Source organism: Homo sapiens, chromosome 13 (assembly GCF_000001405.40).
Source record: "Homo sapiens chromosome 13, GRCh38.p14 Primary Assembly".
NCBI lineage: Eukaryota > Metazoa > Chordata > Mammalia > Primates > Hominidae > Homo > Homo sapiens.
In genome coordinates this window covers 38908836-38936322 of record NC_000013.11, presented here as the reverse complement: position 1 = coordinate 38936322, position 27487 = coordinate 38908836, and the positions used below count along the sequence as shown (strand labels likewise).

Here is a 27487-nt window from a genome sequence, read left to right as displayed (position 1 = left end):
GGCACTCATATATTTGTTCAGTGTATGAATGAGTGAATGTTAAAATATGCAGTCCTTCATAGTTAAAAAGCACTTATAAATTTTATTTCTGCCTTGTTTTCTCCCTGATACAGGCTCTGTTAGCCTGGATGCAGTTTGCCTATGTGAAAGATCAGTAGAACTTAAAAATGATCACAGTGAATAACTTACAGTAGAAATTGAAAAAATGATAAATGAGTTTAGTGTACTACCAAAGGAACTATCTGAAACAAAAGAAATTAGGTCAGGCGTGGTGGCTTACGCCTGTAATCCCAGCACTTTGGGAGGCTGAGGTGGGCAGATCACGAGGTCAGGAGTTTGGACCAGCCTGGCCAACATGGTGAAACCCTGTCTCTACTAAAAATACAAAAAAAAATTAGCTGGGTGTGGTGGCACATGTCTGTAGTCCCAGCTACTCAGGAGGCTGAGGCAGGAGAATTGCTTGAACCTGGGAGGTGGAGGTTGCAGTGAGTCGAGATCGCACCATGGCACTCCAGCCTGGACGACAGAGCGAGACTCCATCTCAAAAAACAAAAACAAAAACAACAACAACAAAAAGAAATTACATCACAGCTAGAGAGCCAACAAGTTGAATGGGAACAAAAACTCAGCAATTTGAGGTATGACATTCTAGTTTAAAAGAAATTTTTGGACTACTTACTTTATAATAACATACATAGGAAAATTTTTGTCATTATTGACTTACCTTTTGGGTTGTAACAGTGGAGAACATCTTTTGGTCTTGTGGAGTGTGAAACTCTTCAAAATAATATAACAAGCTCTTTTTAAAAATTATTATTCTTATTTCTATTTTGTAGAGATGGAGTGTTGCTATCTTTCCTAGGCTGGTCTTGAACTCCTGGGCTCAAATGATCCTCCTGCCTCAGCCTCCCAAAGTTTTGGGATTATAGGTGTGAGCACTACACCCAGGCCAAAATAATATAACAAGTCCTTAACTGTGAATACTTCTACTATCATAATTAATTATAATTAATAATATAGTATTATAATAATTAAATTAATACAATGAATTCTATTATAATAATAATTAAATTCATATATTTTAAATCATAATATTAATGGCTTTATAGGAGTCCATCATATGGAAATCTCATTATTTATATAATAAATTAGATGTTTAATTTTTAAATATTTTTGCATTATAATAAGTACGGTGAGGAACATTTGTTATAAAAATCTTTTTCTACATTTCTAATTATTTACTTTAAATAAATTCTTCAACATAGAATTATTTGGTTAAAGTATAGAAACTTTTAAAAATGGTCTTTGGTCAATATTTCTAAATTGTTCTCAAAAAGATTTATATTAATTTGTAACTCAACCAGCAGAGCAGTCAAAAAAGAAACAAAATGTGTGGGGTAACACGTATTAGATTCTTTGGCCTAGTCTTTGGTTATAATAATTTATAGATATACGTTGTGTGAAAGACATCTGAAGGTGCTATTTATATTACACTGCAAATCATTTTTAGGGGTACCTGCAATATTTCATAAAGATGAGAATTTATAAAATTGCTTTTAAACAGTAACTTCTTTTTAGTTAGTTAACTTTAAATGATCTGTCCTAATTACAGAGGTGTGGTAAAAAGGAAATTTTTGACATGTAAATTTATTGAATAATTTCCAACATCCTTTTCAATAATATTAACTGAAGTTACTAGTAATGGAAACTCGCCAATGGGCAGAGTATTCTTTCCTCGCCACCTTTCAAGACAGACATCCTTCGGAAGAGACTGAAGTAAACAATTAGATATCTGAGAACTAGAAAGGGAAAATATTTAAGAACATAGAAATTTTATTAGGATAATAAATTAACTGATGAAGTGGCAGATCACAAAATGAACGTTTTATTTTCTAACAAAATGAATTTTAAGATAAGCATATTTAACTGCAGATTTACTTTAAAACAAGAAGAAGAGAAGAAATGCTGATATGTTATATGAAAAAACTAGGGAAGATTTAGGCAGAAAAGAAGAGGAATATAAGAAAGAAATCGAAGTGAAACAACAACTTGAACTCAGTCTCAAATGATACTAGACATGGAATGGAAGACTGCAAGAAATAATTCACATCAGTAACATTAATATTTGTTAAAAATTTCCTATTTCTAACTTTGTTTCATCAATATCACTTATAGTATGTTTTTGATTTAATACATATTGTTTAGGTCTAAAACAAACCAAAAATGTTATCTTATCTTAAAAATGAACTATGATATTTACAGCTATAGTTATTTGTTATAAATCTTGGCATCCAAGTAGTGTCTTATTTCAGTACAAAGAGCTTTTGAAAATAATGATGTCATAATATACACTTGCTGATAATTTACTGATAAGTATGTCATTCCTAGTGAAATAGTTTAGTGTATTTTATTCTATTACTGTTTCAAACATGAAGAGAAAACAAAAGTTATTGCAATAGAAAATAACTGCATGATTTTCTAAAAAAAGCTCTATAAATGTCATCTTATTTACTACTGGTGCTTTGAAATAAAAGGCTACTTGTGTTATTTGTATACTTATCCCACAGAAGTAACTTGGATTTGGTGGAAGAACACTAGAAGTAGAATCAGAAGACTTGGGGAAAATCCTGTAGCTCACTTACATTTTTAACCTCCTCTTTTCAGAATTGTGATAACTAATGTGATGTGTATATGTAGAAGTACTTGCTAAAATGCCTAGCTTTATCATTCGTTAATGAATGCAATTCTTATAACTGACTATAAAAACATTAGAAAAGTAGAATGTCTATAGAACCTTCTCAGGACAAAGAAACTTAAATAACTTTGGGAAATTTAATCTGTCCAAATATATGCAGTGCGAAAGTTCTTATTATGGGGTCATGTATAAGTTAGCCATCAGGGTGTAAACCCTATTTATTTATTTATTTATTTATTTACTTTGAGACAGAGTCTCTCTCTGTCACCCAGACTGGAGTGCAGTGGTGTGATCTCAGCTCACTACAACCTCCACCTCCTGGGTGCAAGCGATTCTCTTTACTCAGCCTCCCGAGTAGCTGGGATTACAAGCATCCGCCACCATGCCCAGCTAAGTTTTGTATTTTTAATAGAGATGGGGTTGCGCCACGTTAGCCAAGCTAGTCTTGAACTCCTGACCTCAGGTGATCCGCCCGCCTTGGCTTCCTAAAGTGCTGAGATTATAAGCATGAGCCACCGTGCCTGGCCAGGGTAAACAATTATTATTATTTTTTTTTGTTTTTGAGACGGAGTCTCACTCTGTCACCCAGGCTGGAGTGCAGTGGTGTGATAGCTCACTGCAACCTCTGCTGCCTGGGTTCAAGCGATTCTCCTGCCTCAGCCTCCTAAGTAGCTGGGATTACAGGCAACTGCCACTGTGCCCGGCTAATTTTTGTAGTTTTTTTAGTAGAGACGGGTTTCACCATGTTGGTCAGGCTGGTGTCGAACTCCTGACTTCGTGATTCACCTGCCTCGGCCTCCCAAAGTTCTGGGGTTACAAGTGTGAGCCACCGCGCTCGGCCCCAGTTTTTTAACATAGTCCAAGTTTTTAATTTTTTATTTTATGCCTTTGGATTTGTTGTAATTCAGGGAGGGGCTTATCCAATTTTGAGATTCTTAAATCTTCCCTAGTGGTTTCTTTTTTACTTTCACAGATTCATTGTTTTCAAATAAATTTTTGAACTTTTGGTAGTCTATGGTCTATTAGGTTTGAGGTTTTGACCTGACTTTTTCTCCAGTTGGATATCCACATACGGCAACCCTTTCATTGTATAAATGTACAGGTTATTCTTTAATTTTAGAGGAAATTGTGATATGTAATTTTATTGAGTGGTAGCTAAAAGTTTCCTTTGCTTTACTTAGATTTCTCATAGACACGAAGATATGTTGCATGAAAATTGCATGTTGAAGGGAGAAATTGTCACTCTAAGACTGGAAACGGACACAATAAAAACCCAGGAAACAGTAACAAAAACAGTATCTGACTGTAATGGAGAGCTGAATGTTTTGACAGGTGAGAGCAGGTGAGAGATTATTGCTCAGTTCTGAACTGAAGAAAGAAAAAGAAAACACGGAAAGACTGGAAACAGAAGTTGAATCCTATGGTTATACACTGGCTGCTGCTATATGTGATCTTGATCAAGGCAAGATATCAAGGAAACACCTAGAATTTGCTCTCCAGAGTGCAAGAGATGCTTGTTTACAAGAAAAAATAAATTTTGACATGTCTAACCTAAAAAGTAACAATGAAATTCTTTCTCAACAACTTTCTGAAGCTCAAAGTAAATTCAGTAACCTAACAATTTAGTTCCATAACACAAGAGATGCTCTCAGAGATATAACTTTGGTTTCAGAACGTCTACAAAGAGATCTACGCCAAACACGATGTCAGATGAAGGACACTGAACAAATGTATGAAAATGAGCAAGATAAAGTGAGTAAATGCACTGCAAAGCAGGAAGCCATGGAAGAGAGATTATCCCAGCTACAAAATGAAAATATGCTGCTTCAACAGCAACTAGATGAGGATCACAAGATGCAGATACGGAAGAAAAGATAATTAATACTCAAGACCAATTTCTTGGGAATGAAAAGCAACGTTGTTCACTAGAAGATAAATATAAGGAGTTATTAAATGAGTGTGATCATTTAAAAGAAATACTATATCAATATGAAGAAGAGAAAGCAGAAAGAGAACTAAGTATTCAGAAAGATAAATATTTTTCAAACCTCCTGAAGGAAAATTTAAAGTCATATTTGCTGGTAGCTAAATGTTTAGTCTAGTTGAATGTAAAAATAGATGATTGATTTATTCACTGTATTAGCTTAGAAATGCCTTATTTTCAGCAAATAATAGTTAAAGCTGAGAGATTTGTTTGTTTGTTTGTTTGTTTGTTTGTTTTAGACAGTCTCGCTCTGTCGCCTGGGCTGGAGTGCAGTGGTGTAATCTCGGCTCACTGCCACCTCCACCTCCTGGGTTCAAGCAATTCTCTTGTCTCAGCCTCCAGAGTAGCTGGGACTACAGGCGCATGCTGCCATGCCCAGCTAATTTTTTGTGTTTTAGTAGAGATGGGGTTTCACCGTGTTGCCCAGACTGGTCTCGAACTGCTGAGCTTAGACAATCCACTCGCCTCCGTCTCTCAAAGTGCTAAGGATTACAGGCGTGAGCCACTGCGCCAGGCCCTAAAGCTGAGAGATTCTTTACTTTGAGTAATGACGTTATGTTACTTATCCAATTTTAAGAGTTTGTTACAAATTATTAATAGATATAGACTAATATTAATAATGTAGCCTTACACTGCTGAAATAATTTTAATGCCTTTACGTTGCCACATTTTAAGACTATAATGTAGCAGATAAATGGAAATGCTCATAATTGAAATGAGTGTTTTGAAATTAAGATTTGATTAAATGAGTTACTTTGACAGTTAATTCTAGATTTCCCAGATGAACTGAAGTGTACTGTTGTATCTTGTAATACTTTTTCTTCATTAGCTGTTCACACATTTTAGTTGGTATGATTTTATTTTTATTCATGTCAATTTGACTTAAATCTGAAAATATTTCAATCTCAAATTACATGTTGTTATGACCACTTGACTTTTAAAAGGCATCTACTTTTTATTAAATAACAATTTGGGACAAATGTGGTGAATTTTAGGAAAACCATATTTGATTTATTTTTCCCACTGGTATAGGTAATTTAATATTATTAGAAATCATTTGCTTATAATTTTTATTTCAAGGCTCAATGACCATTATTTGGATATAATTTTGTCCAACAATGATAAGTGTAATTATCTGTGATCTTTTAGTTTGGCAATGGACCCCCCAGTTTCAGACTAATGAGGGGTGGTGGGATTCACATATAGCAGAAATGCTGTAAGTAGGGGAGAGTCATGGCAGCTGAGGTCAGGGAGGTTACCTAAAGGGCCTCAAAGGCCATTGGAATTTTTCTTTCATTCTGGAGACAGGAATCTATTGGAAGGATTTGGGCAGGCAATTGAATAAGTGAGGACCCCTGAGGTTGATTGGAGCTTCTAATAAAAAAAAAAGAGGAAAACGTTCCACAGTGTAGAATTTACCACCACCAGTCTTCCCTACATTATCCATTTCTTTTTTGAGACTTCAGTAGGTTGTTAAGCATTGCAGAATTATCGAGGGCTGAATGAATGGTGGGCTAAAACTGTTGTCTAGTAACAGAACATCTATCTGGCAGGAAGATAACATCTGTGTCCTTAACTGGATTCAGTAATAAATAGCAATGTGTGCACATGAGGAAAAAAAGATGAATTGTGTATGTGGTGATATTTTTCTTTCTTTCTTTTTTTTTTTTTGAGACAGAGTTTCGCTCTTGTGCATTTAAAATGGACATTGTGTTTCTATCACCCAAATAGAAAATGGAATGTTTCCCAGTACCTTTGAAGACCCCAGCATGACTTTTTTTCTACGTATTTGCTGAGTACTTAGGTTTGTTTTCTGATTCTAATTACTGTTTTTCTCTCATTGTCTTTCTCTACATGATTTTGCATTCGTTTCATTTTGTTAACATTGTACTGGCAAAGATCTCTAGAGCTCTTCTTAAAACAGCCTTTAAGGGCCCATGCATTATCTCTCTGCTCATTTCCTTCCTTGTAAAACTCTTGCCCGTTTCCTTTTCTTCCTTAACTGAGACTTCACAGATGTTTTCTTTTGTGTCCATTTTTCTACTTTGAATAATCTCCTTGGTGTTTTCTGCATGTATTTTCTTCTTATAGACTGTTGTCAATGGGTATCAAAATGTATTTTTGTGTCTTTTTCAAACTTATATAAGTATGCTTTTCTCTTCACCTGGGATACTGAGCTCTAGGTTAGAGCTCATAATTAATAATAGTTTAAAGTTTTATATTAATATACTAAAATGCACACTAGTTTATTAATTAATATTAACTCTTTATCTGCCATACATGTCATAAAAATTTTCTTCATGTTATTTACCTAAGATTATACTTTCGTTAAATGTTTTCCAACTCTTTTAGTTTGAAACAAATGAGAGAGGATTCTAATTTATGGATTTGTTTCTTTTGTATGTTAGAATGTAATATCTCTTTAAATAATTATTAAATATTTACCCTTAAGAAATTTGATTTACTCGTTCTGTACATTCCTGCAGCTATAAGAAACTCTTACAAATGACAGAAAAGAAGCTCAATGAATGTGAAAATGGCAAGTTTAGTTTTTATGGAGATGTAAAGACCAATCAATTTGATGTAGATATTCAGATTAATAATCTAAAATATAAGGTAATTTTTAATCAGTTTTGGGACCAAAAAAAATCACTTATTTTGGGAAATAGAAATCTCTCAATGCTTTGAGTACTGAAAGAAAAAATTTTCCTTTTATTTTATGTACTTGATACCAGTGAAAACGATAGCATTTTAATATATCATTTTTACATAATATAAAGGGTATACTGCTGATTCTCTTGTGTCTTGAACCCTGGCCAATGGTCTAAATGCAAGCAGTACGCCATTATATGACTTCAAATCAGTAGTACCAAATCAGGTTGTTTTTGTTTTTGTTTTCATTTTATTGAGATATAATTAACATATCACACAATTCACTCACTTAAAATATACAATTCAAGGGCTTTTAGTATTTTCACAGTTATGCAATCATCATCACAATTAATTTTAGAACATTTTTATCACCCTAAAAAAAACGCTTACATCCTTTACCAGTTTCCCCTTCCTTGCCCAGCCCTAGGGAAACAGCTATCCATTTTGCTTGTGTAGATTTGCCTATTCTGGACATTTCATATCATTCAAATCACCACACGTCGTGTTTTGTGACTGGCCTCTTTCACTCAGCCTAAAGTTTTCAAGTTTCATCTGCGTTGTGGCATATATCAGTACTTAATGTGTTCTTATTGCTGAATGATACTGCATTATATGGATATAACAAACATTTTACTTATCAATTCATCCGTTGATGGACCTTTGGATTGTTTCAACTTTTGGCCATTATTAATAAAGCTGCTATGAAGTTTCAAGTACAAGTTTTTGTGTGTGCATATGATTTTATTGCTCTTGGGTATATACTTATGAGTTGAGTTGCTGGGTCATACGGTAATTCTATGCTTAACTTTTTCAGGAGCTGCTGGTATGTTTTCCAAGATCCTAGATATAAGTCCCTTATCAGATATATACTTTTCAAATATTTTTTCCTACTCAAAGTTTTGACTTTTTACTTTCTTGATAGGGTCTTTTCAAGCACAACACTTTTAAATTTTGATGAAGTCCAGTTAATCTATTTTTCCTTTTGGTATTATATGGAAGAAAACACTGACAAATGCAATCACAAAGATTTATCCCTATTTTTTCCTAAGAGTTTTATAGTTTTAGCTCTTACATTTAGCTATTTTGTTTTGAGTTAATTTTTATATATGGTATTTGGTGGGAACCCAGCTTTATTCTTTTGCAAGCAGATATCCTGTTGTCCCAGCATCATCTGTTGAAAAGACTATTCTTTTCCTATTTAATTACTTTCTTACCCTTGTTGAAACTCAGTTGACTGTAAATGTGTACATTTATTGTTGAATTCTCAATTCTAATACATTGATTTATATCTATTCTTATGCCAGTACCAAAGAAAATTTTGTGAGAACTCTTTTTTAATCATGTTGCATGTCACCATTTGTCTTAGGTCATAATAAAAATTCAATTTTGTGGAACATCTTTAACTTCACTGTTTGCTTATTGAAGGAGCCTGTGGCCAACATAAGTCAACCTTGCTGACTCCATGACATGATAGGAAGTCAGGCTAACAAAGGAATGGACAGAGTCCTTTCCTTTATTCCCCCATTCATACCTTTAATGTCTCACCCAGTGTATCCCTCTACAGTCCCATTTTCATCAAATCGTGGTCACAGGATCTGCTGATACAGTCTACTGTTTACTACATTATGTTTTATTAACTCGCTATAATTCATAGAATGATCTGTAGATTTTTACTATCCAGGAAGGAGAAAAGTCTGGGCTGTCAGCTGTTGTCATTGGAAACTGAGCTCATCATATGTCATCTTTCAGTTCATAGTTAGATCCTCTTCCAATCTCATACCTTATTCTTGTGTATAATAGTGAGCTGATCCTTTTCTTGGTGCAGATTGTGTGTTTTCAGATACCACAATTCCCTGTATTTACCTTTCTTTACTTAAACCAATAGAGATGCACAGCTATACTTTATAGCTCAGTACATGGTTTTAAAATAGTTCAACCGATTTAATGAAAAATTTCCAGGAGTACAGCACTTAAAAAGCAGAAAATGTTCAGGCAATTTATCAGAGACAGATAATTGTCAAATTAGTTATTTGAATTTCAAAATTTCAGAGCCAATTTGTATGTTATGGAGAAGCATTGTAGTACGATGTAAAGATAAGATGGTCTTAGCTTCTTTATATAAAGAAACTTGAAGGTAAAGGAGAAATTGTATTTAATTTCTCATCATTTCAAAGCGTACTACATTTATTTTACTTCTGAGAAGATTAAAAATGATTCCACGATGTTCTCCTTATTTCCTCACTGAGGAAAGGAAAGTGAAGATTAAAATATTAGATTTATTAATAAATACTGAAAGCTGCTTGCTTCTTTTAGAATTTCAGTTAATTAAAATCAGGGAAAATGTGTGATTTCAGTCATTAAACCAAACATTTCTAGTTGTTTTCCAGTGATTACGCTTCACATAATGTTTCCTTGCTTCTCAGTCTTTCTTATTCTCAAACTTGTGGGAAAATTCTAAAGAGGCACATTTGCTTAGCTATAAGAGTTTGTAAATGAAGGGAACTTCAGAAAAACTTCCTCCTCAATAGCTCTTATGTCTTTCTTCTAGTTATCTACTGTTTCTCATTAGCATTGTTTGCCATTAATAAATTGATCTCAATACTGATTAGATCCTACTTTAAAAGAGACTAATATCTACTGTGTAATTTATGATTCTTATTGTCTCTTTTTAAAAATCTTTTCTGTTTTTGTTTTCCAACAATTACACAAAGTGTAATGGCTGAAAACAACAACATGTATTTAGTTCAGGAATCTGTGGTTTGGGAAAAGCTTGGCCAAGACAGCTTGTCCCTTTTCCTTTCAGTTTCCTTGGGAACAGCTCAAAGGCGGGGGGACGGGAATCATCTGAAGGTTTGCTCCCCCACTTGTCTGGTCATTGATGCCGACCACTGACTGGAACTTTATCTGGGGCAGGCAGCCTGAAAACCTACTAGAACTCCTGCGCTCTCTTAGCAATTTACTTCTAATGAATAGAATGTGGTGAAAATTATACTAATACTACGTGACTTTTAACATTAGGTTAAAAAAGGCTCTGTATCTTAGACTGCTTGCCCTTGGAACCCCAGACCCCCATTGTGTGGAAGCTCAGGACACATCGCATTCATTAGAAGCAAATCATTAAGGTTGGCCCATATTCTATTGTTTTATGGGATACATATTTTTTCTTTTGCTTTTAATTGATACATATACACATATTTATGGAATACAGAGTGAGTAATATCTTGATACATATATACAATGTGTAATGTTCAAATCAGGCTAATTAGCATATTTACCACTTCAAATACTTAACATTTCTTTGTGTTGTGAATGTTCAAAATCCTCTCTTCTAGCTTTTTGAAAATATGCAATAAATCATAGTTAACCATATCCACCCTGCAATGCCACAGAACACCAAAACTCATTCCTCCTACCTCAGCTATAATTTTGTATCCATTAACCAGCCTCTCCTCTCCTGCCCACTACCTTTCCCAGCCTCTAATACCTACAATTCAACTCTCTACTTTCATGAGCTAATTTTTTTTTAAGCTCCCACATATGAGAGAGAACACACAGTATTTACCTTTCTGTGCCTGCCCTTAACATAATGTCCTCCAGACTTGTCCATGTTGCTGCAAATGACAGGATTTTATTTCATTTTATGGCTGAATAGTGTTTCATTTTGTATATACAACATTTTCTTGATCCATTTGTCTTTCGATGAACATTTAGGTTGATTCCATCTCTTAGCTGTCGTAAATAGTGCTACAACACACGTGGGGATGCAGGTGGCCCTTTGATGTACTAATTTCCTTTCTATCAGTTAAATGTCTGGTAGTGGGATTGCAGGGTCATATGGCAGTTCATTTTAAGTTTGTTGTTGTTGCTGCTGTTTTAGTTTTTGAGAAAACTCTACATTGTTTTCTAAAATGGATGTATAAATTTACATACCCACCAACAATGTATAAGAGTTTCCTCTTCTCTGCATCTGCACAGTATTTGCTACTGTTTGTCTTTTTGATAGCAGTCATTTGAACGGAAGTGAGATATCGTATTGTGGTTTTTATTTGTATTTCCCTGATGATTAGTGCTGTGGAGCATTTTTAATATTTTTTGGCCATTCCATGTCTTCTTTTGAGAAATGTCTATTCAGATTCTTTGCCCACTTTTGAATCAGATTATTCATGTTTTGCTGTCAAGTTGTTTGAGTTCCTTGTATATTCTGGATATTAGTCCTTGTCAGATGAATAGTTTGGAAATATTTTTTCCCATTCTATAGGTTATCTCTTCACTGTTGATTGTTTCCTTTGCTGGGCAGAAGCTTTTTAGTTTAATATACTGTCTGTCTATTTTTTTTTTTACCCGTGCTTTTGAATTCTTTCTCATAAAATATTTGCCTAGACCAACATCCTGAAGAATGTCTCCTATGTTTTCTTCTGGTAGTTTTATAGTTTGGGGTCTTACATTTAAGTCTTTATTTAATTTTGAGTTGATTTTTGTATATGGTGTTAGATAGGGGTCTAGCTTCATTCTTCTTCATATGGATATCCAGTTTTCTCAGCACCATTTATTGAAGAGGGTATCCTTTCCCTTGTGTACGTTCTTGGCATCTTTGTTGAAAATCAGTTGGCGGTAAATATGTGGATTCATTTCTGTGTCCTGTTTTCTGTGGCCTTAAACTCCAAGAGTCATTACTCCTTGGAGTGCAGTTCAAATTAGCATATAACATTTGCAGTTTAGAAAAAGGCTTATGATATTGAATCCATAATACCGGATTCATTAATTAGAATCTTATTTTCAAAGTTTTACTCGCAGAGCCATTTATAGAGTAAGACCTAAACAACTCAATATGAAGTCCGTTAAACTTCTTTAGAAATTATAGTGGGTAGTGATGGGGGAAAGGAATAAGAGGCCTTCTACTAAGAGGTGACTTAGAGCCATTTTAAAGAGGAAAGACAGAGAAATAATTATAGAAAAATACATGTCTAAGATCAAGTGCAAATATTGTGTGGCAGAGTTGATAAGAGTAAAAAATACACTTACGTTACTTCTGACGGCTTTAACTTTCTTGATTTTCTAAGTAAGGGTCCACATTTGAAGAATCTACTACAGAAGAGATAACATTTTTTCATGGCTGAATTTATTTCACAAACTGTTATTGGTTTTGTGTTAGAATTATTCTAAGCCTATTTCCTTTGTTACCAAACTATATATTATTTTATTCATGAAGATCGATGATCTTACAGCAATGGAAGCTATGTCTTTAATACGTCTAAATCTGGATACAGAGAATAAATTTTTTCAACAGGAGTTATTATCTATGAAAACAATACAAAAAATGTGAAAAACTACAGAAGAAAAAACCATGTTTGAACAAGAAGTAATAGACCTCAAAAGTCATGTAGACATAAGTATGGTAGAATGTGGTCAAGTCAAACAATATAAACAGGAGATTGGAGAAAGAGCAAGACAGCGTATAGAAGAATTACAAGAAGTCAATCTATAAGTTTTTTTTTTAATCTGGTTAGTTTATTCATCTAAGATGTACTTTCATTTCACTTTAAATTATATTTTCAACATATATGTTGTATCTGTTTCCTCCCCTTACTTTATATATTTATAAATTTCTAGAAGGAAGGTGGCATCTGTTTATCCTTTTAAATATTTCAATTTTCATCACTGTTATAACTAAATCAGTCTTTCAGAATAATAATTTCCCCTATAGAAATATTTGATTATTAAGACCAGCAGGCATAAAATATGACTATCAAGAAAAGAAATAATTGTGATTTAGAAATTATGCCAGACTCTTGAATTGTTCTTAAATTACGTTGTTGAGTTTAAAAAATTTTAAATTGATTTCATTATTCTTTGGATTATTAGATTACATGAGTACTAACATAAGAATGATTTACTTTTTTATAATTCAGATTTAATTCAAATACAAATTTCAATTTACTTGATATTGTTGACAAATATTTTAAAGTTTAGCTTCTTTTTTTAATATTTGAAATTGCTCTGTATTTTGACTCAAAACAAAATAAAACAAATATACAATAATAATTTCGGTCATTATTTTAAAAATGTAGCTGTTTAATTTGCTTTAGACAGAAGCAGCATCTAAAGAACATTTAGAGCAGTTAAGATGGCATGATATTACTTCAATAAATAAGATGGAACTCAAAATTAAAGCTCTGGAAGCTGAGCAGTCCCAAATGTAAATTGCTCAAGAAAACTTTAGTGATAGCGAATTAGAAAAACAGAAGCAGCTATATCTAGAAGAATTAAAAGAGAATCTTTGTTATATGAACTAAACACGTAAGTCAAAACATAGAATCATAGAAAATAAATTAAGCTCATTAATTTGCCTCGAAAGCATAATTTTTAGTGAGACAGGTTTAAGATATTACTGGGAACTGAAAGGTAACTAGATAATACAATTTTGGAAAATGATGTTAGTAAATGAACTTACCTTTAAAATGTTAGTCCAGGATACTTTATATCTCTCTCCCAATTTTTTTTTTATAAGGCTTTTTTTCCCCTTAATATTCTCATGTAGTTAACTTGATCTGTTAGTTTTTAAGCTAAGTAATTTTGAAGCTTTATAATTTAGACAGTGATATTGTTCTAAAATTGCTTGTCAGCGTTTCTCTAAATAGTAATGTTGAGTTTAACTATTATTTGAAAGACTACAACTTCATCCAAAAGAGTCAAGTTTTTTTTTTCTTTCCAAGATGGCAGATGATTTTTAGCATGTCTCAGTTACTTGGAAATAGCAAAATGATGCATAGAGACCAACTCCCTGAGCTTTAATTCACTTAGGAAAAGGGGAATCCACTGGAATTGTGAAGGACACCCCAGATCTCAGGGAGAAGAATGCAGGCAAACCGCCCCCGCGATGGTATCCAGCTGATAAAAGTGAGCGAAGCTCCAGTACCTGAGAGAGGCAAAGAGCTTCTGTCTGTGACTCGTCTTTCCACTGGGGATCTGAGCAACCCAGGCCAAGGGAGAGCATTTTGTTTCTCCCAAACTCTGCAGCTAACTTGAGGGGAGGCTTGGAGATGCTGGGAGGGAAACACAAGGAAAACTGCAGATATTTTCCCAGATCCAGGACCAAGAGCAGGACACCATTTTTAATCTGGGTGAGTACAGGGTCAGACATTCTTTGGGAACCTGGCAGTATGGCTGTTCAGGCATTTTCGTCTGGGCCAGAGATTCTCATGCTTGCTCTGGAGAAGGGTAGGGGTTTCCACACTGGGGTAATTGTGGAAAGCACCTCAGTAGTAGGCACTGGAATTGTATTTTCCTCCATCACAGGTCTGGGATAGGAAGAGAGCCGCCTGGTGATATGCCTGGGTTTGGGATGAAGAGGGTTCTGCAGTTTCTCCTGTTCAATGAGACTTGCAGCCAGGGCCAGCTTGGTGACCTGGAACTGGTCTGCATGTGCCATTGCTGGGTGCCCCAACCTGTTCCTCTGAGATGTTGTACAGTGGGTCCCTCTTTGCTCCACCCCCCAGGCTGAACTCTAGGCATTTGGAGCACCCACTTTCCTGGAGCAATAGCCTAAGCCACCCCATCCTTTTTGTGCAGAGATCCTGGTGCGAGAGGAGTCCTCCCTGGTTCAAGCCCAGGCAAATCTCTCCAGGCATTCAGAGAATCCATTCACCTGGTTCAGCAGCCTGAATTGTCACACCTTTCCTGTACAGAGATTGTGGTACAGCAAGGCCCTCTCTACTTCATGCCCAGGCATATCTCCAGGCAGTCAGAGCACCTGCTTGCCAGGACCAGTAAGCTGAGCCATCCCACCCTTCCTTTGCAGAGATTGTTGTGGAGCATGTGTTTTGTGTGCTAACACAAAAACACACAAGTTACATAGCTCACAGACCGCATAAAATAACCATGCAATAGAAATGACAAAGCAACCAGCTATCAGCTTCGCCATAGGATCAAAACCTCAGAAACCAATATTAACCTTTAATGTCAACAGTATAAATGCCCTCACTTAAAAGGTACAGAGTAGCAAACTGGATGAAAAAAAATCAAGACCCGTCTGTTTGTTGCCTTCAAGAGACCCATCTCACATATAATGACACCTATAGGCTTGAAGTAAAGGGTTGGTGAAAGAGCTATTATGCAAACAGAACACCAAAAAGGCAGGGGTTGTGATTCTTTGGTAAAGCAGACTTTAAACCAACAACAGTAAGAAAGGACAAAGAAGGGCATTACATAATGATAAAGGGTTTAATTCAACAAGAAGACTTAACTATTCGAAATATATATGCACCCAACACTGGAGCACCCACATTCATAAAATGAGAACTTCTAGACCTACAAAAAGACTTGTACAACCACACAATAAATAGTGGAGAACTTCAACACCCCACTAACAGAGAGTATTAGATCATCGAGGCAGGAAACCAACAAAGAAATTCTGGACCAAAATTGGATACCTGATAAACTGAACATAATAGACATCTACAGAATACTCAATTCATCAACTACAGAATATATATTTTTTGTTTCTGCACACAAAACATTCTCTAAGATCAAACACATGTTTGCTCGTAAAGCAAGTCTCAAGAAATTAGAAAAAATCCATATCATACCAACCACACTCTCAGACCACAATGGAATAAAAATAGAAATTAGTACCAGGATGAGCTCTCAAAACTACACAATTATATGAAAATGAAAAAACTTGCTCCCGAATGACTTTTGGGTAAACAATAAAATTAAGTAGAAATAAAAAACATTATATGAAGTAAATTATAACAAAGATACAACATACCAAAATCACTGGGATGCAGGAAAAGGAGTATTAAGAGGAAAGTCTGCAGCACTAAACACCTACATCAAAAAGTTAGAAAGATCTCAAATTAACAATATAACATCACACTTAGAGGAACTAGGAAAATAAGAACAAACTAACCCCAAAGCTAGCAGAAGAAAAGAAAGAAATAAAATTAGAGCAGAACTGAATGCAAATGGAGACCCAAAAATCCATACAAATAATTAATGAAACCAAAAGTTGGGTCTTTGAAAGGATACAAAATCAATAGACAACCAGCTAGATGAGCAAAGATAAAAGAAGATCCAAATCAGCACAATCAGAAATGACAAAGATGACATTACAACCAATCCCACAGGAATACAAAAGATCCTCAGAAACTATTATGAAGACCTCTGTGCACACGAACTAAAATATCTAGAGGGAATGGGTAAATTCCTGGAAACCTACAACCTCCCAAGATTGAATCAGGAAGAAATTGAAACCCTGAACAGACCAATATTGAGTTCCAAAATTGAATCAGCAATAGAAAACCTTAAAAAGCCCCCATGAAAACAGCCTCAAACCTGATGGATTCACAGCTGAATTCTACCAGTTGTACAAAGAAGAGCCGGTGCCAATTCTGCTGAACCTAATCCAAAAAAATCAAGGAGGTGGGACTCCTCCCTAACTCATTCTATAAAGACAGTGTCAACATGATACCAAAACCTGGCAAAGACATAGCGAGAAAAGAAAACTACAGGTCAATATCTCTGGTGAACATAGATGCAAAAGTCCTCAACCAAATACTACTGAATCCAGCAGCACATCAAAAAGTTATTTCACTGTGATTAAGTAGACTTTATTCCTGAGATGCAAGGTTGGCTCAACAAATGCAAATCAATAAATGTGATTCACCATATAAACAGAATTAAAACCATAAACCACATGATTATATCCATAGATGTGGACAAAGCTTTTGATAAAATCAAGCATCCCTTCATGATAAAAATCCTCAACAATCTAGACATCAAAGGAACAAACCTCAAACTAATAAGAGCAATCTATGACAAATTTATTTGCCAACATCATGCTGAATGGGCAAAAGCTGGAAGCATTCCTTTTAGAGTAATACAAGGATGTCCTCTCTCACCACTCCTATTCTACATAGTACTATAAGTCCAAGTTGGAGCAATCAGGCAAGAGAAAGAAATAAAATGCATCCAAATAGGAAAAGAGGAAGTCAAACTCTCTCTCTTTACTGATGATATGATTCTATACCTAGAGAACCCTAAAGACTCTGCCAAAAGGCTCCCAGAACTGGCAAATAATTTCAATTTCAGCAGAGTTTCAGGATACAAAATCAATGCACAAAAATTAGTAGCATTGATATATACCAGTAACATTCAAACTCAGAGCCAAATCAAGAATGCAATCTCACTTACAATAGCCATAAAAAAGTACTTAGGAATACATCTAAGTAAGGAAGTGAAGAATCTCTACTAAGAGAACTACAAAACACTGCTGAAAGAAATCAGAGATGACACAAATAAATGGAAAAGCATTCCATGCTCATGGATTGGAAGAATCACTATTGTTAAAATGGCCACACTGCCCAAAGCAATTTACAGATGCAATACTATTCCTATCAAACTACCAATGCCATTTTTCACAGAATTAGAAAAAACTATTCTAATCCTCATATGGAACCAAGAAAGAGCCCAAATAGCCCAAGAAGTTCTAAGCAAAAAGAACAAAGCTTAAGGCATCACACGACCTGACTTTATACTAAACTTTATGCTATATACTGTCAGGCTACAGTAACCAAAACAACATGGAACTGGCACAAAAATAGACACATAGACCAATGGAACAAAACAGAGACTCCAGAAAGAAATCTGCACACCTATACCCATCTGATCTACAAAAAATTAGACAAAAATAAACAATGGGGAAAGGACTTCCTATTCAATAAATGGTGCTGGGATAACCGGCTAGCCGTATGCAGAAGATTGAAACTGGACCCTCCCTACCTTTTACCATATACAAAAGTTAACTCAAGGCCAGGCGCGGTGGCTCACATCTGTAATCCCAGCACTTTGAGAGGCCGAGGCGGGCGGATCACGAGGTCAGGAGTTTGAGACCAGCTTGGCCAACATGGTGAAACCCCATCTCTACTAAAAAAAATACAAAAATTAACCAGGTGTGGTGGCAAGCACCTGTAATCCCAGCTACTCAGGAGGCTGAGACAGGAGAATTTCTTGAAACCAGAAGGCGGAGGTTGCAGTGAGCTGAGATCATGCCACACTGCACTCTAGCATGGGCGAAAGAGCGAAACTCCATCTCAAAAAAAAAAACAAAATTAACTCAGGATGGATTAAGGATTTAAATGTAACACTTCAAACTATAAGAGTCTTAGGAGAAAACCTAGGAAATACCATTCTGTATATTGGCCTTGGGAAAGAATTTGGAGTTCTCAAAAGCACTTGCAACAGAAACAAAAATTGACAAGTGGAACCCAATTAAACTGGAGCTTCTGCACAGCAAAGAAACTATCAACAATGTAAACAGATGACCTACAGAATGAGAGAAAATATTTGCAAACTATGCATCTGAAAAAGGTCTAATATCCAGAATCTATAAGGAGCCTAAACAATTCAACAAGCAAAAGACAAAATGACCCCATTAAAAAGTGGGCACAGACACTTCTCAAGAAAGACATAGAAGTGGCCAACAAACATACGAAAAAAAAAAAATACTCAACCTCACTAATCATCAGAGAAATGCAAATCAAAACCACGATGAGATACCATCTCACACCAGCCAGAATGGCTATCACTAAAAATAAAAAAAAAGGGCCGGGCGTGGTGACTCACACCTGTTATCCCAGCACTTTGGGAGGCCCAGGCGGGCAGATCACGAGATCAGGAGATCGAGACCATGCTGGCTAACACGGTGAAACCCCGTCTGTACTAAAAATACAAAAAGTTAGCTGGGCGTGGTGGCACACACCTGTACTCCCAGCTACTCGGGAGGCTGAGGCAGGAGAATCACTGGAACCTAGGAGGCGGAGGTTGCAGTGAGCCAAGATCACGCCGCTGCACTCCTTCCTGGGCGACAGAGCAGAGCGAGCTTCCGTCTCAACAACAACAACAACAACAACAAAACAAAAATAAAAAATGACAGATGCTGGCAAGGCTGCAGAGAAAAGGGAATGCTTATACACTGCTGGTGGGAATATAAATTAGTTCAGATACCATGGAAAGCCGTTTGGAGATTTCTCAAAAAACTTAGAACCACCGTTCAACCCGGCAATTCCAATGCTGGGTATATATACAAAAGAAAATAAATCATTCTTCCAGAAAGACCTATGCACTCGTATGTTCATCACAGCACTTTTCACAATAGCAAAGACATGGAATAAACCTAGGTGCCCATCCACGGTCGACTGAATAAAGAAAATGTGGTACATATACACTATGGCCATGAACAAGAATGAGATCATATTCTTTGCAGCAACATGGATGCAGCTGGATGCCATTATCTTAAGCGAATTAACATAAAATTAACAGAAAACTAAATACTGCATGTTCTTACTTATAAGTGGAGCTAAACATTGGGTACTCATGGCTGTAAATGTGGCAACAATAAATGATGGGACTATTAAATGGGAGAGGGAAAGAGGGAGTCAGTGTGTGGAAAACTAACTCTTGAGTGCTTTGCTCAGTACCTGGGTGATGGAATCAATCACATTCCAAACCTCAGCATCAAGCAATATAGCCATGTAACAAACCTGCACATGTACCCCCTGAATCTAAAATACAAGTTGAAATTATTAAAAAATGTTTTCTTCCAATATATAAACATGTACTCTCTCTCCATTTATTTAAATATTCTTTGTTGCCTTTCATACGTGTTTTGTAGTTTTTTCACATATATATCCTGTACATACTTTGTTAGATGTATAATTGTATTTCATTATTTTTGATGCTGTTGTAAATTGTATTTTTTAAAATTTCAAATTCTAATTGCTCTTTACTGATATATATGAAAGAAATGGACTTTTGCATATTAACCTTGTATTTTGAGACCTTGCCAAACTCACTTATTAGTTCCAGAAGTTTGTATTGTTCTTGTTGTTGATAGGATTTTCTAGTTGTTCAATAATGTAATCTGTGAGTAAAGAAAGTTTTATTTTTCAAAAGTCAAGTACGGCCGGGTCCGGTGGCTCACGCCTGTAATCCTACTACTTTGGGAGGCCGAGGCGGGCGGATTGCCTGAGCTCAGGAGTTCGAGACCAGTCTGGGCAACACGGCGAAACCCCGTCTCTACTAAAAATACAAAAAAATTAGCCATGGCGGCGTGCTCCTGCAGTCCCAGTTACTCTGGAGGCTGAGGCAGGAGAATCGCTTGAACCCGGGAGGCGGAGGTTGCAATGAGCCGAGATCGCGCCACTGCACTCCAGCCTGGCCGACAAAGCCAGACTCCGTCTCCAAAAAAACAAAAACAAAAACAAAAAAAAAAAAGAAAAGAAAAGAAAAGTACTATTACTCTTGGCACATTCTGGCACTGGGTGAATTAACTTTCTTTGTTTGTGATCTTTGTATTATCACTAGAGGGCGCCATGAGACAAACTATCCTGTATGGTTTTTTCATTACATAAGGGCATCCCTGTGAAATAGGTAATGATTAACATAAGGGTGAAGGGAATTATAATTCACAAACTAGTTAAAAATAACACCTTGCTCAGCCTGAAGGGGATGAGTGCAAGACAGAGGGCAGGCCCCACCTCTGATGCCGTGGTTGCAATGCTAGGAGCTAATTGCCTTTAAAGTTGGCTTGAGTTCTTTTTGATCACCAACTCAGCTCTCTCGTTTTCCCCTAGAATTGTTGCTCTGAATTATTCCTCAGTGCCAAATGCTTAATTTTTCCCAGGTAATGAGTGAATTGTACAAGGGTGGTGAAAGAACATGCTTGAAAATGTCTTTGAGGGCTAATTTTTAAAATCTCTAAATTGGTTTCCTAAACACAATTAGTTTTGGCTTTTAAAAAAAGTTTTAGTTTATTAATTGTATAAATTTAAGAAGCACAACATGATATATTGACATATTTATACATAGTGAAATGATTATTACAGTTAAGCAAATTCATCATCTCACATACTCTTTAAATACAAGTATTTCTGAATGGCATCCTCAAGAATCTTATAAGCAGAGCCATCCCAGAAGACAGTGAGTGCTACCTGTTAAGGCTCAGGCAAGAGAAAAACGTAGGCAAGGTGATGGGACCGGGAGAAAAGATTGAGGGATTTATTGAGTCAAGACCAGCTCCGTATCAGTCACTTTTCAGAGTTTTGAAATGCATCTACAAGAGTGCCTGTGAAACACTCTTAAAACAGGCAATTCTAATTCAGTATGGTATGGCATTGAATAGAGATGTACGAGATGCATGGAGTAAGGGGAATTGGGGAGTAATCTACATGGCTTCTGGAGGAACCTCTGAGTCATGGCCCTGGAAGTGTTAGAGGTAGGTCCTGAGAGTATGTGAGCATTTGCCTTGGAAGGTGCCTAGCCCACCATCACTGACTGGGGAAAGCATGGCTAAAGTACCCAGGCATGGAGGGATGTATTTGGAGCACTGAAAGCCATTGGTATGGCTAGAATTTAGGGCAATAAAACTAAGAGAGAGAAAATGGCCAAAATCCCGGTCAAGGTGGCATGTCCATGACTCTTCTGAGGAAACCCAAACAAGGGAGAAAGGGGGTGGTTAGCAGAGGTCCCTGATATCCCCTCCTTTTTCAGAATATCTAATGATGATTCCACCTTTCAATTGAACACCCGTAAAATCAGAAACCCCAAATTCTGTTGTGCATGACTCATTGTCACGGACACATCTGTCCTCTTCTCCTGTGTGTACTTTCACTTTGCAATAAAAGCTTCTTGAGCCTTTGTCCCTGAATTCTTCGTAGTGATGGTGTCAAGAATCTGGACGCCAGGTGGGGCTGCGGTCTCACAGGTATCTGGAGACCCTCCTGAGCCCTCTGGCAACATGATTTCCTGGCTTTGTTCTATTTAATTTAGTTTAATTTAATTTTTTTTGAGATAGAGTTTCACTCTTGTTGCCCAGGCTGGAGTGCAATGGTGCGATCTCAGCTCACTGCAACATCCACCTCCTGGGTTCAAGTGATTCTCCTGCCCCAGCCTCCCGAATAGCTGGGATTACAGGCATATGCCACCACCACACCTGGCTAATTTTGTATTTTCAGTAGAGGTGGGGTTTCTCCATGTTGGTCAAGCTGGTCTCGAACTCCTGACCTCAGGTGATTCACCTGCCTTGGCCTCCCAGTGTGCTGGGATTAGAGGCATGAGCCACTGCGCCTGGCCTATTTACTTTTTTTTTAAATAAAAAAGTATAAACAAAGTTGCGGTTGTGCTTTCCTTATTAATGTTGGACTTCAAGCTACCTCCACCAACTGAAACATAATCTCAAGCTGAATAAACAGGCCATGGAGAAAGCAGGAGCGTTTTTATTTAAAATATTTAAGTATTTCACTCCATACAGAACTAACGGAACTTTTGATTTAGTATTATGCATAACATAAAAATTAGCAGTTTATTAAGCTTTTCTATTTCCTCTGGCAATATTTATTTTCTGCTAGGCTATTATTCTACACACTTCAAAAGCCATTAATGGCACCCTTTTCTAACCAAACAGGACAATGATTAATGTCACCAAGACATTTTTCTCTCCTTTTCCTTTCCATAATCTGTGCCAGGTACTGTATTAAGTCACTCAGTAAAAATTCCAGGGATAAAAGTTCTGAATTTCTATTCATAGAAATGTGAGGAAAATGTGTGATTTAATGGGAAAGCAAGAATAAAATAAAAGGGAATTTTAAAAAGTCATTTAGGCCGGGTGTGGTGGCTCACGCCTGTAATCCCAGCACTTTAGGAGGCCGAGGAGGATGGATCAACTGAGGTCAGGAGTTTGAGACCAGCTTGGCCAACGTGGACAAACCCCGTCCCTGCTAAAAATACAAAAATTAGCTGGTCGCAGTGGCGAGCACCTGTAATCCTAGCTACTCGGGAGGCTGAGGCAGGAGAATTGCTTGAACCCAGGAGGCAGAGGTTGCAGTGAGCCGAGATTGCACCATTGCCCTCTAGCCTGGGCAACAAGAACAAAACTCTGTCTCAGAAAAAAAAAAAAAAGTTATTTAATAGTTTTCATTTCCCCCTTGTGAATATGGGTAAAACCACCGCAGCCTCCCAACAGCCAGGACAACACTGGAGTCATTAACACTCAAGATCATTTTCCAGTGTTTTCGGGTGCCCCTCTCAGAGCATCTCCCGTGTTCTGAGTCTGTTTCTTTACCCTCTGAGCTTTTATATCTGATCTGGTGTTTCTTACCCAAAGGCAGTTGCCCTCAGCAACTGGTAAAGTGTTCAAGGGTCAGTGAAAGGCTAAAAAAAATGTATGTAGGAGGAGGCCATCCCAAGGTTGGGCAACTACTTCTACCAAAAGAGAAAAAAAGTCCTCTACTTAAATTTGTTATACAAAAAATATTCTTTATCTAGAGAGTTATTTCTTTAGCATAAAAACAAGCAAGCTGATGAGAAAGGTACTTCATTTTTATCTAGTAAAATTTATGTACTATGAATGTATTTGTGAATGGGGTATAAAGAAATTAATACAATCTATTACAGATAGGAAGTATAAGAAGAACTTTTGGGGGAAAGATAACAATGTTACTTTAAGAGTTTTTTAATTCAAGTCACGTAAAAATGTACATTTTACATAGTGTTCATTAATGATAAAGTAAATTTCTTTCAATAAAGCCTTCTCCCTTTATCTGATATTGAGTTATCACTTTTATAAAATTTTTCTCATAATTCTATTGTCATGTCACTAGTTTTATAAGGCCTGTCTATAATGTTATGATCACAGAAAGATTATGGAAAACTATCTCTTAAAATATTGCAAAAGCTATTGGTCAAAAAACTTGTAAAGGCATTGTATATCATATTGTCATTGTCACCAAAAATATTATGTTTAGTAAAGAATTTTAGAACCTTTTCTGGGCATTTAGTGAGAGAACACCTTTTGCACAAAAGATTTAAATAAAAACATTCTAGATGGGAACACTTGCAATATAGTTTGAAGTATCCCCACACAATTTCATAATTAAGTAGAGAACTACAGTTAATTAGATGTTTCAAAAAATGCTACTACTTTTTGAAAAGCATAAAAGTTACAATTAAAAGGCTGTATATTGTTTTCTTTGTTTCTAATTCTAGAAGGTCATGAAACAAAGAAACCAAGTTTGTAAACTGGTTTTAATCTATATTCTTTTTTCAAGTAAATTTTAAAAATCTTTGTTTCCCATATGGAAAGGAAGATTTTTTATTCATATGTAAAAAAATTAGTTGCAATGCAGATAGAATAATATTTCTACTTAATATTTTGCCAGTAGAATTTTCACATATTATGTGACAGTACCACTTTCTTCAGGTACATATTTAAAATTCTGTCCCGAAAAGTTAATAACATGGAATGTATTTAAAATTTTAATTTTCCAAAAGAGGAAAATGGAAAGTGTATTTTAAGGAGAATTCTACCAAAGTGAAAAAACTGATTGAACTCTTATAAAGGTCAGAGTTTTGCTAAGAATTAGAAAATAATGCGTTTGTTGCAAAATATGACTTGAATTGTGTAACCTTTGTAACTAGTAAAAGAAAACGTTGCCCTTCTGAAAGATGTATATTCCATAGACTAATATTAATTGCACTTTTTATTAGACTAATGTCAAGAGCATTACACATATATATTCTCTTTTATCTAAACTTAAAATAAGTAGGATTTTTATTTTGTTTATGTAGTTAATTTTTCTATTTACGCAATCCTCAAGTTAGGTCTTGTCTCTAAAAGTATGAAAGATCATATTTTATAAGTGATCTATCATTTTCATGATAATTTCTCTGTTTAACTTAAACATTATGAATATTTGGCTTATTTCAGATGCAGCAAGAGTTGATAGAAAATATAACTAGAGAAGTAGAAGAACGTATGTTGCCAAAATTAATTAATTAAATTTAGATTAATTAATTGATTCCTGAAATAAACTATAAATAGCAAGTGGCTTTCCTCTCCACTGTTTGTATTACAGTAAGTTTTTTTTCCTATATACATTTCATAAAAGACAGAAACACATAAATACTCATAATGGAGAATATACTTATGCTTCATTAATTCATCATGTTCCATAGCTTTAAAAAAATCTCAAGGAACCTAACTATCTCTTTTGTTCTGGCTCTAAACCGTCTTCATTTCTGCCATCCCTAGGGAACTGTCAGCTAGCACACTGAAACTGCACTCAAGAAACAAAGTCATCATCAGCTTCTCAAAGACATGGTAGTAATTTAAGTCCAAAAGACCAGAGTCATCTAGTAATACTTAGCCAAACAATTAGAGTTCAAAAACAGTTACTTGACAGGTGATGTTTAAAATCTCCAATTATTTATTTTGTGATTGGTTTACTTTTGCACTCAGGAAATGCTCTAAGTTGCTTGGAATGCAATAAAAACACCTACATCAGTTTGGTTCTTGTCAAGTTATTCAGCCTTGTCTCTTGCCACATACCCTACTCTACCCCTTTGCTCTAGCATTCAGCCAAACTGGACTATATAGAATTCCACAGTGCTCTTTCTAATCTCTTTGCATTTGCTTCTTCCCTCTATGTGCCACATCTTTTCCTTGTCCTTCAGATATCAACCTACATATTGCCTCCACCAAAAAGCCTGCAATATTGACACAAAACTGGGATAGGTGTCCCTTCTGTGTGTTCCAATAGTGTCCTGTTTTATACCTGTCATGGTATCTATGATTCTGTAAAGAAATTGCCTGTTTGTTTTTTCAGGTTGTATCATACGATTTTTGAGAAGTGAACTGTTCATCTTCATCTTGTAACTCCACTGCTTATTGTCACATGGTTGCTGAATACAGGAATGAAGAGTGAAAAAACCAAAAGCTCTGATACTTAACCACAATGACAGTTCAATGCACAACTATGGGCAGATTATATTTAATATTAAACAGTAATTTTGTATCATGGTCATACGTACATATTTTTCCTTCTTATTAAAACAGATAAAGTTCTCAACTCTCTTTTACTGACTTACACTTAGTTAACTATGAAATATTTTAGGTAAGGAGCATCATTCTTTCATTTTCTTTCCAGGTGCTGCTGAATTTGAATCTGAGTCTTCTATGTAGAATCTACTGATGAGTTACATCTAAATCAAGATCTAGTTTGAAAAGCATCGTGAGAATATGTGCCGATTTTAAGAAAAATTATATAATCCATTCAGACCCACCATGGATTGCATTTAGTTCTTGTGTCTCTTAGACTCTGTCTGGAGCAGCTCCTGTTTTCCCTTGACCTTATAACCTTGAATCTTTCAAAGAGTAAAGTCCAGTAATGTAGAATGTTCGTCAATTGGGTGTTTCTGGTGTTTCATTGTGATTAAATTTACATCATACTTTTTTAAAAATTCAGCTTTAGTTCCAGGGAGTACATGTGTAGCTTTGTTACATGGGTATATTGTGTCAGGCTGAGGTATGGGGAACAAAGAGATTTTACATCTTTGGTCAAGTATATCCTGTACAGAAGTGATCCTGTAATTGTCTCATTGCATCTTATCATGTGACCTACAATTTTGATTTGTCCTGTTACTTAGTATCCTGTGGGGAGGTAATTTGAGACTATGTAAATATCTCTCTTCCTCCTAAAACCCTCAATTTATTCATTTACTTGTATCAATATGGATCCATGTTTTATTTTCTTCAATGGTTTATAATTTGTTAATTTTAAGAAAGCATAGTTTTCTTTTCAGAAATGTTCTACTTTGACAATGTCAGACTTTTTAATACAGTGTCATGACTTCTCCACTTCTTGGGAGCACTTCCAGCATCAATGGTGGCACTTTGTATGGGTTCCATGGTGTTATTTAAGTTTCACAGTATTGCATTAAAAACAATGAAAAAGGCCAAGCGTGGTGGCTCACGCCTGTAACCCCAGCACTTTTGGAGGCTGAGGCGGGCAGATCACTTGAGGTCAGGAGTTCGAGACCCACCTGGCCAACATGGTGAAACCCCGTCTCTACTAAAAATACAAAAAATTAGCCAGGTGTGGTGGTGGGTGCCTGTAATCCCCACTACTGGGGAGGCTGAAGCAAGAGAATCACTTGAACCCGGGAGGTAGAGGTTGCAGTTAGCAGAGATCATGCCGTTGCACCCCAGCTTAGTTAACAAGAGCAAAACTCTGTCTCAAAAACAAAACAAAACAAAACAAAATGAAAAATATGCAAGAGCCGTAAGTCATCACTTTTTACTGTGAAATACAATTTCCTGGATA

The 27487-nt window shown here is 35.9% G+C and overlaps 1 pseudogene, besides 1 other annotated feature; it reads left to right on the top strand.

Moving 5' to 3' along the window:
* On the top strand, positions 119-27095 carry ANKRD26P2 (ankyrin repeat domain 26 pseudogene 2; annotated as a pseudogene).
* Positions 14168-15367: an enhancer, noted in NCBI's record as "MED14-independent group 3 enhancer chr13:39495093-39496292 (GRCh37/hg19 assembly coordinates)". NCBI's record gives its function as "activates an origin of replication core promoter dependent on BRD2, BRD4, P300/CBP and CDK7 cofactors, and independent of MED14, by STARR-seq in HCT116 cells {active_cell/tissue: HCT116}" and the evidence as "EXISTENCE:reporter gene assay evidence [ECO:0000049][PMID:35650434]".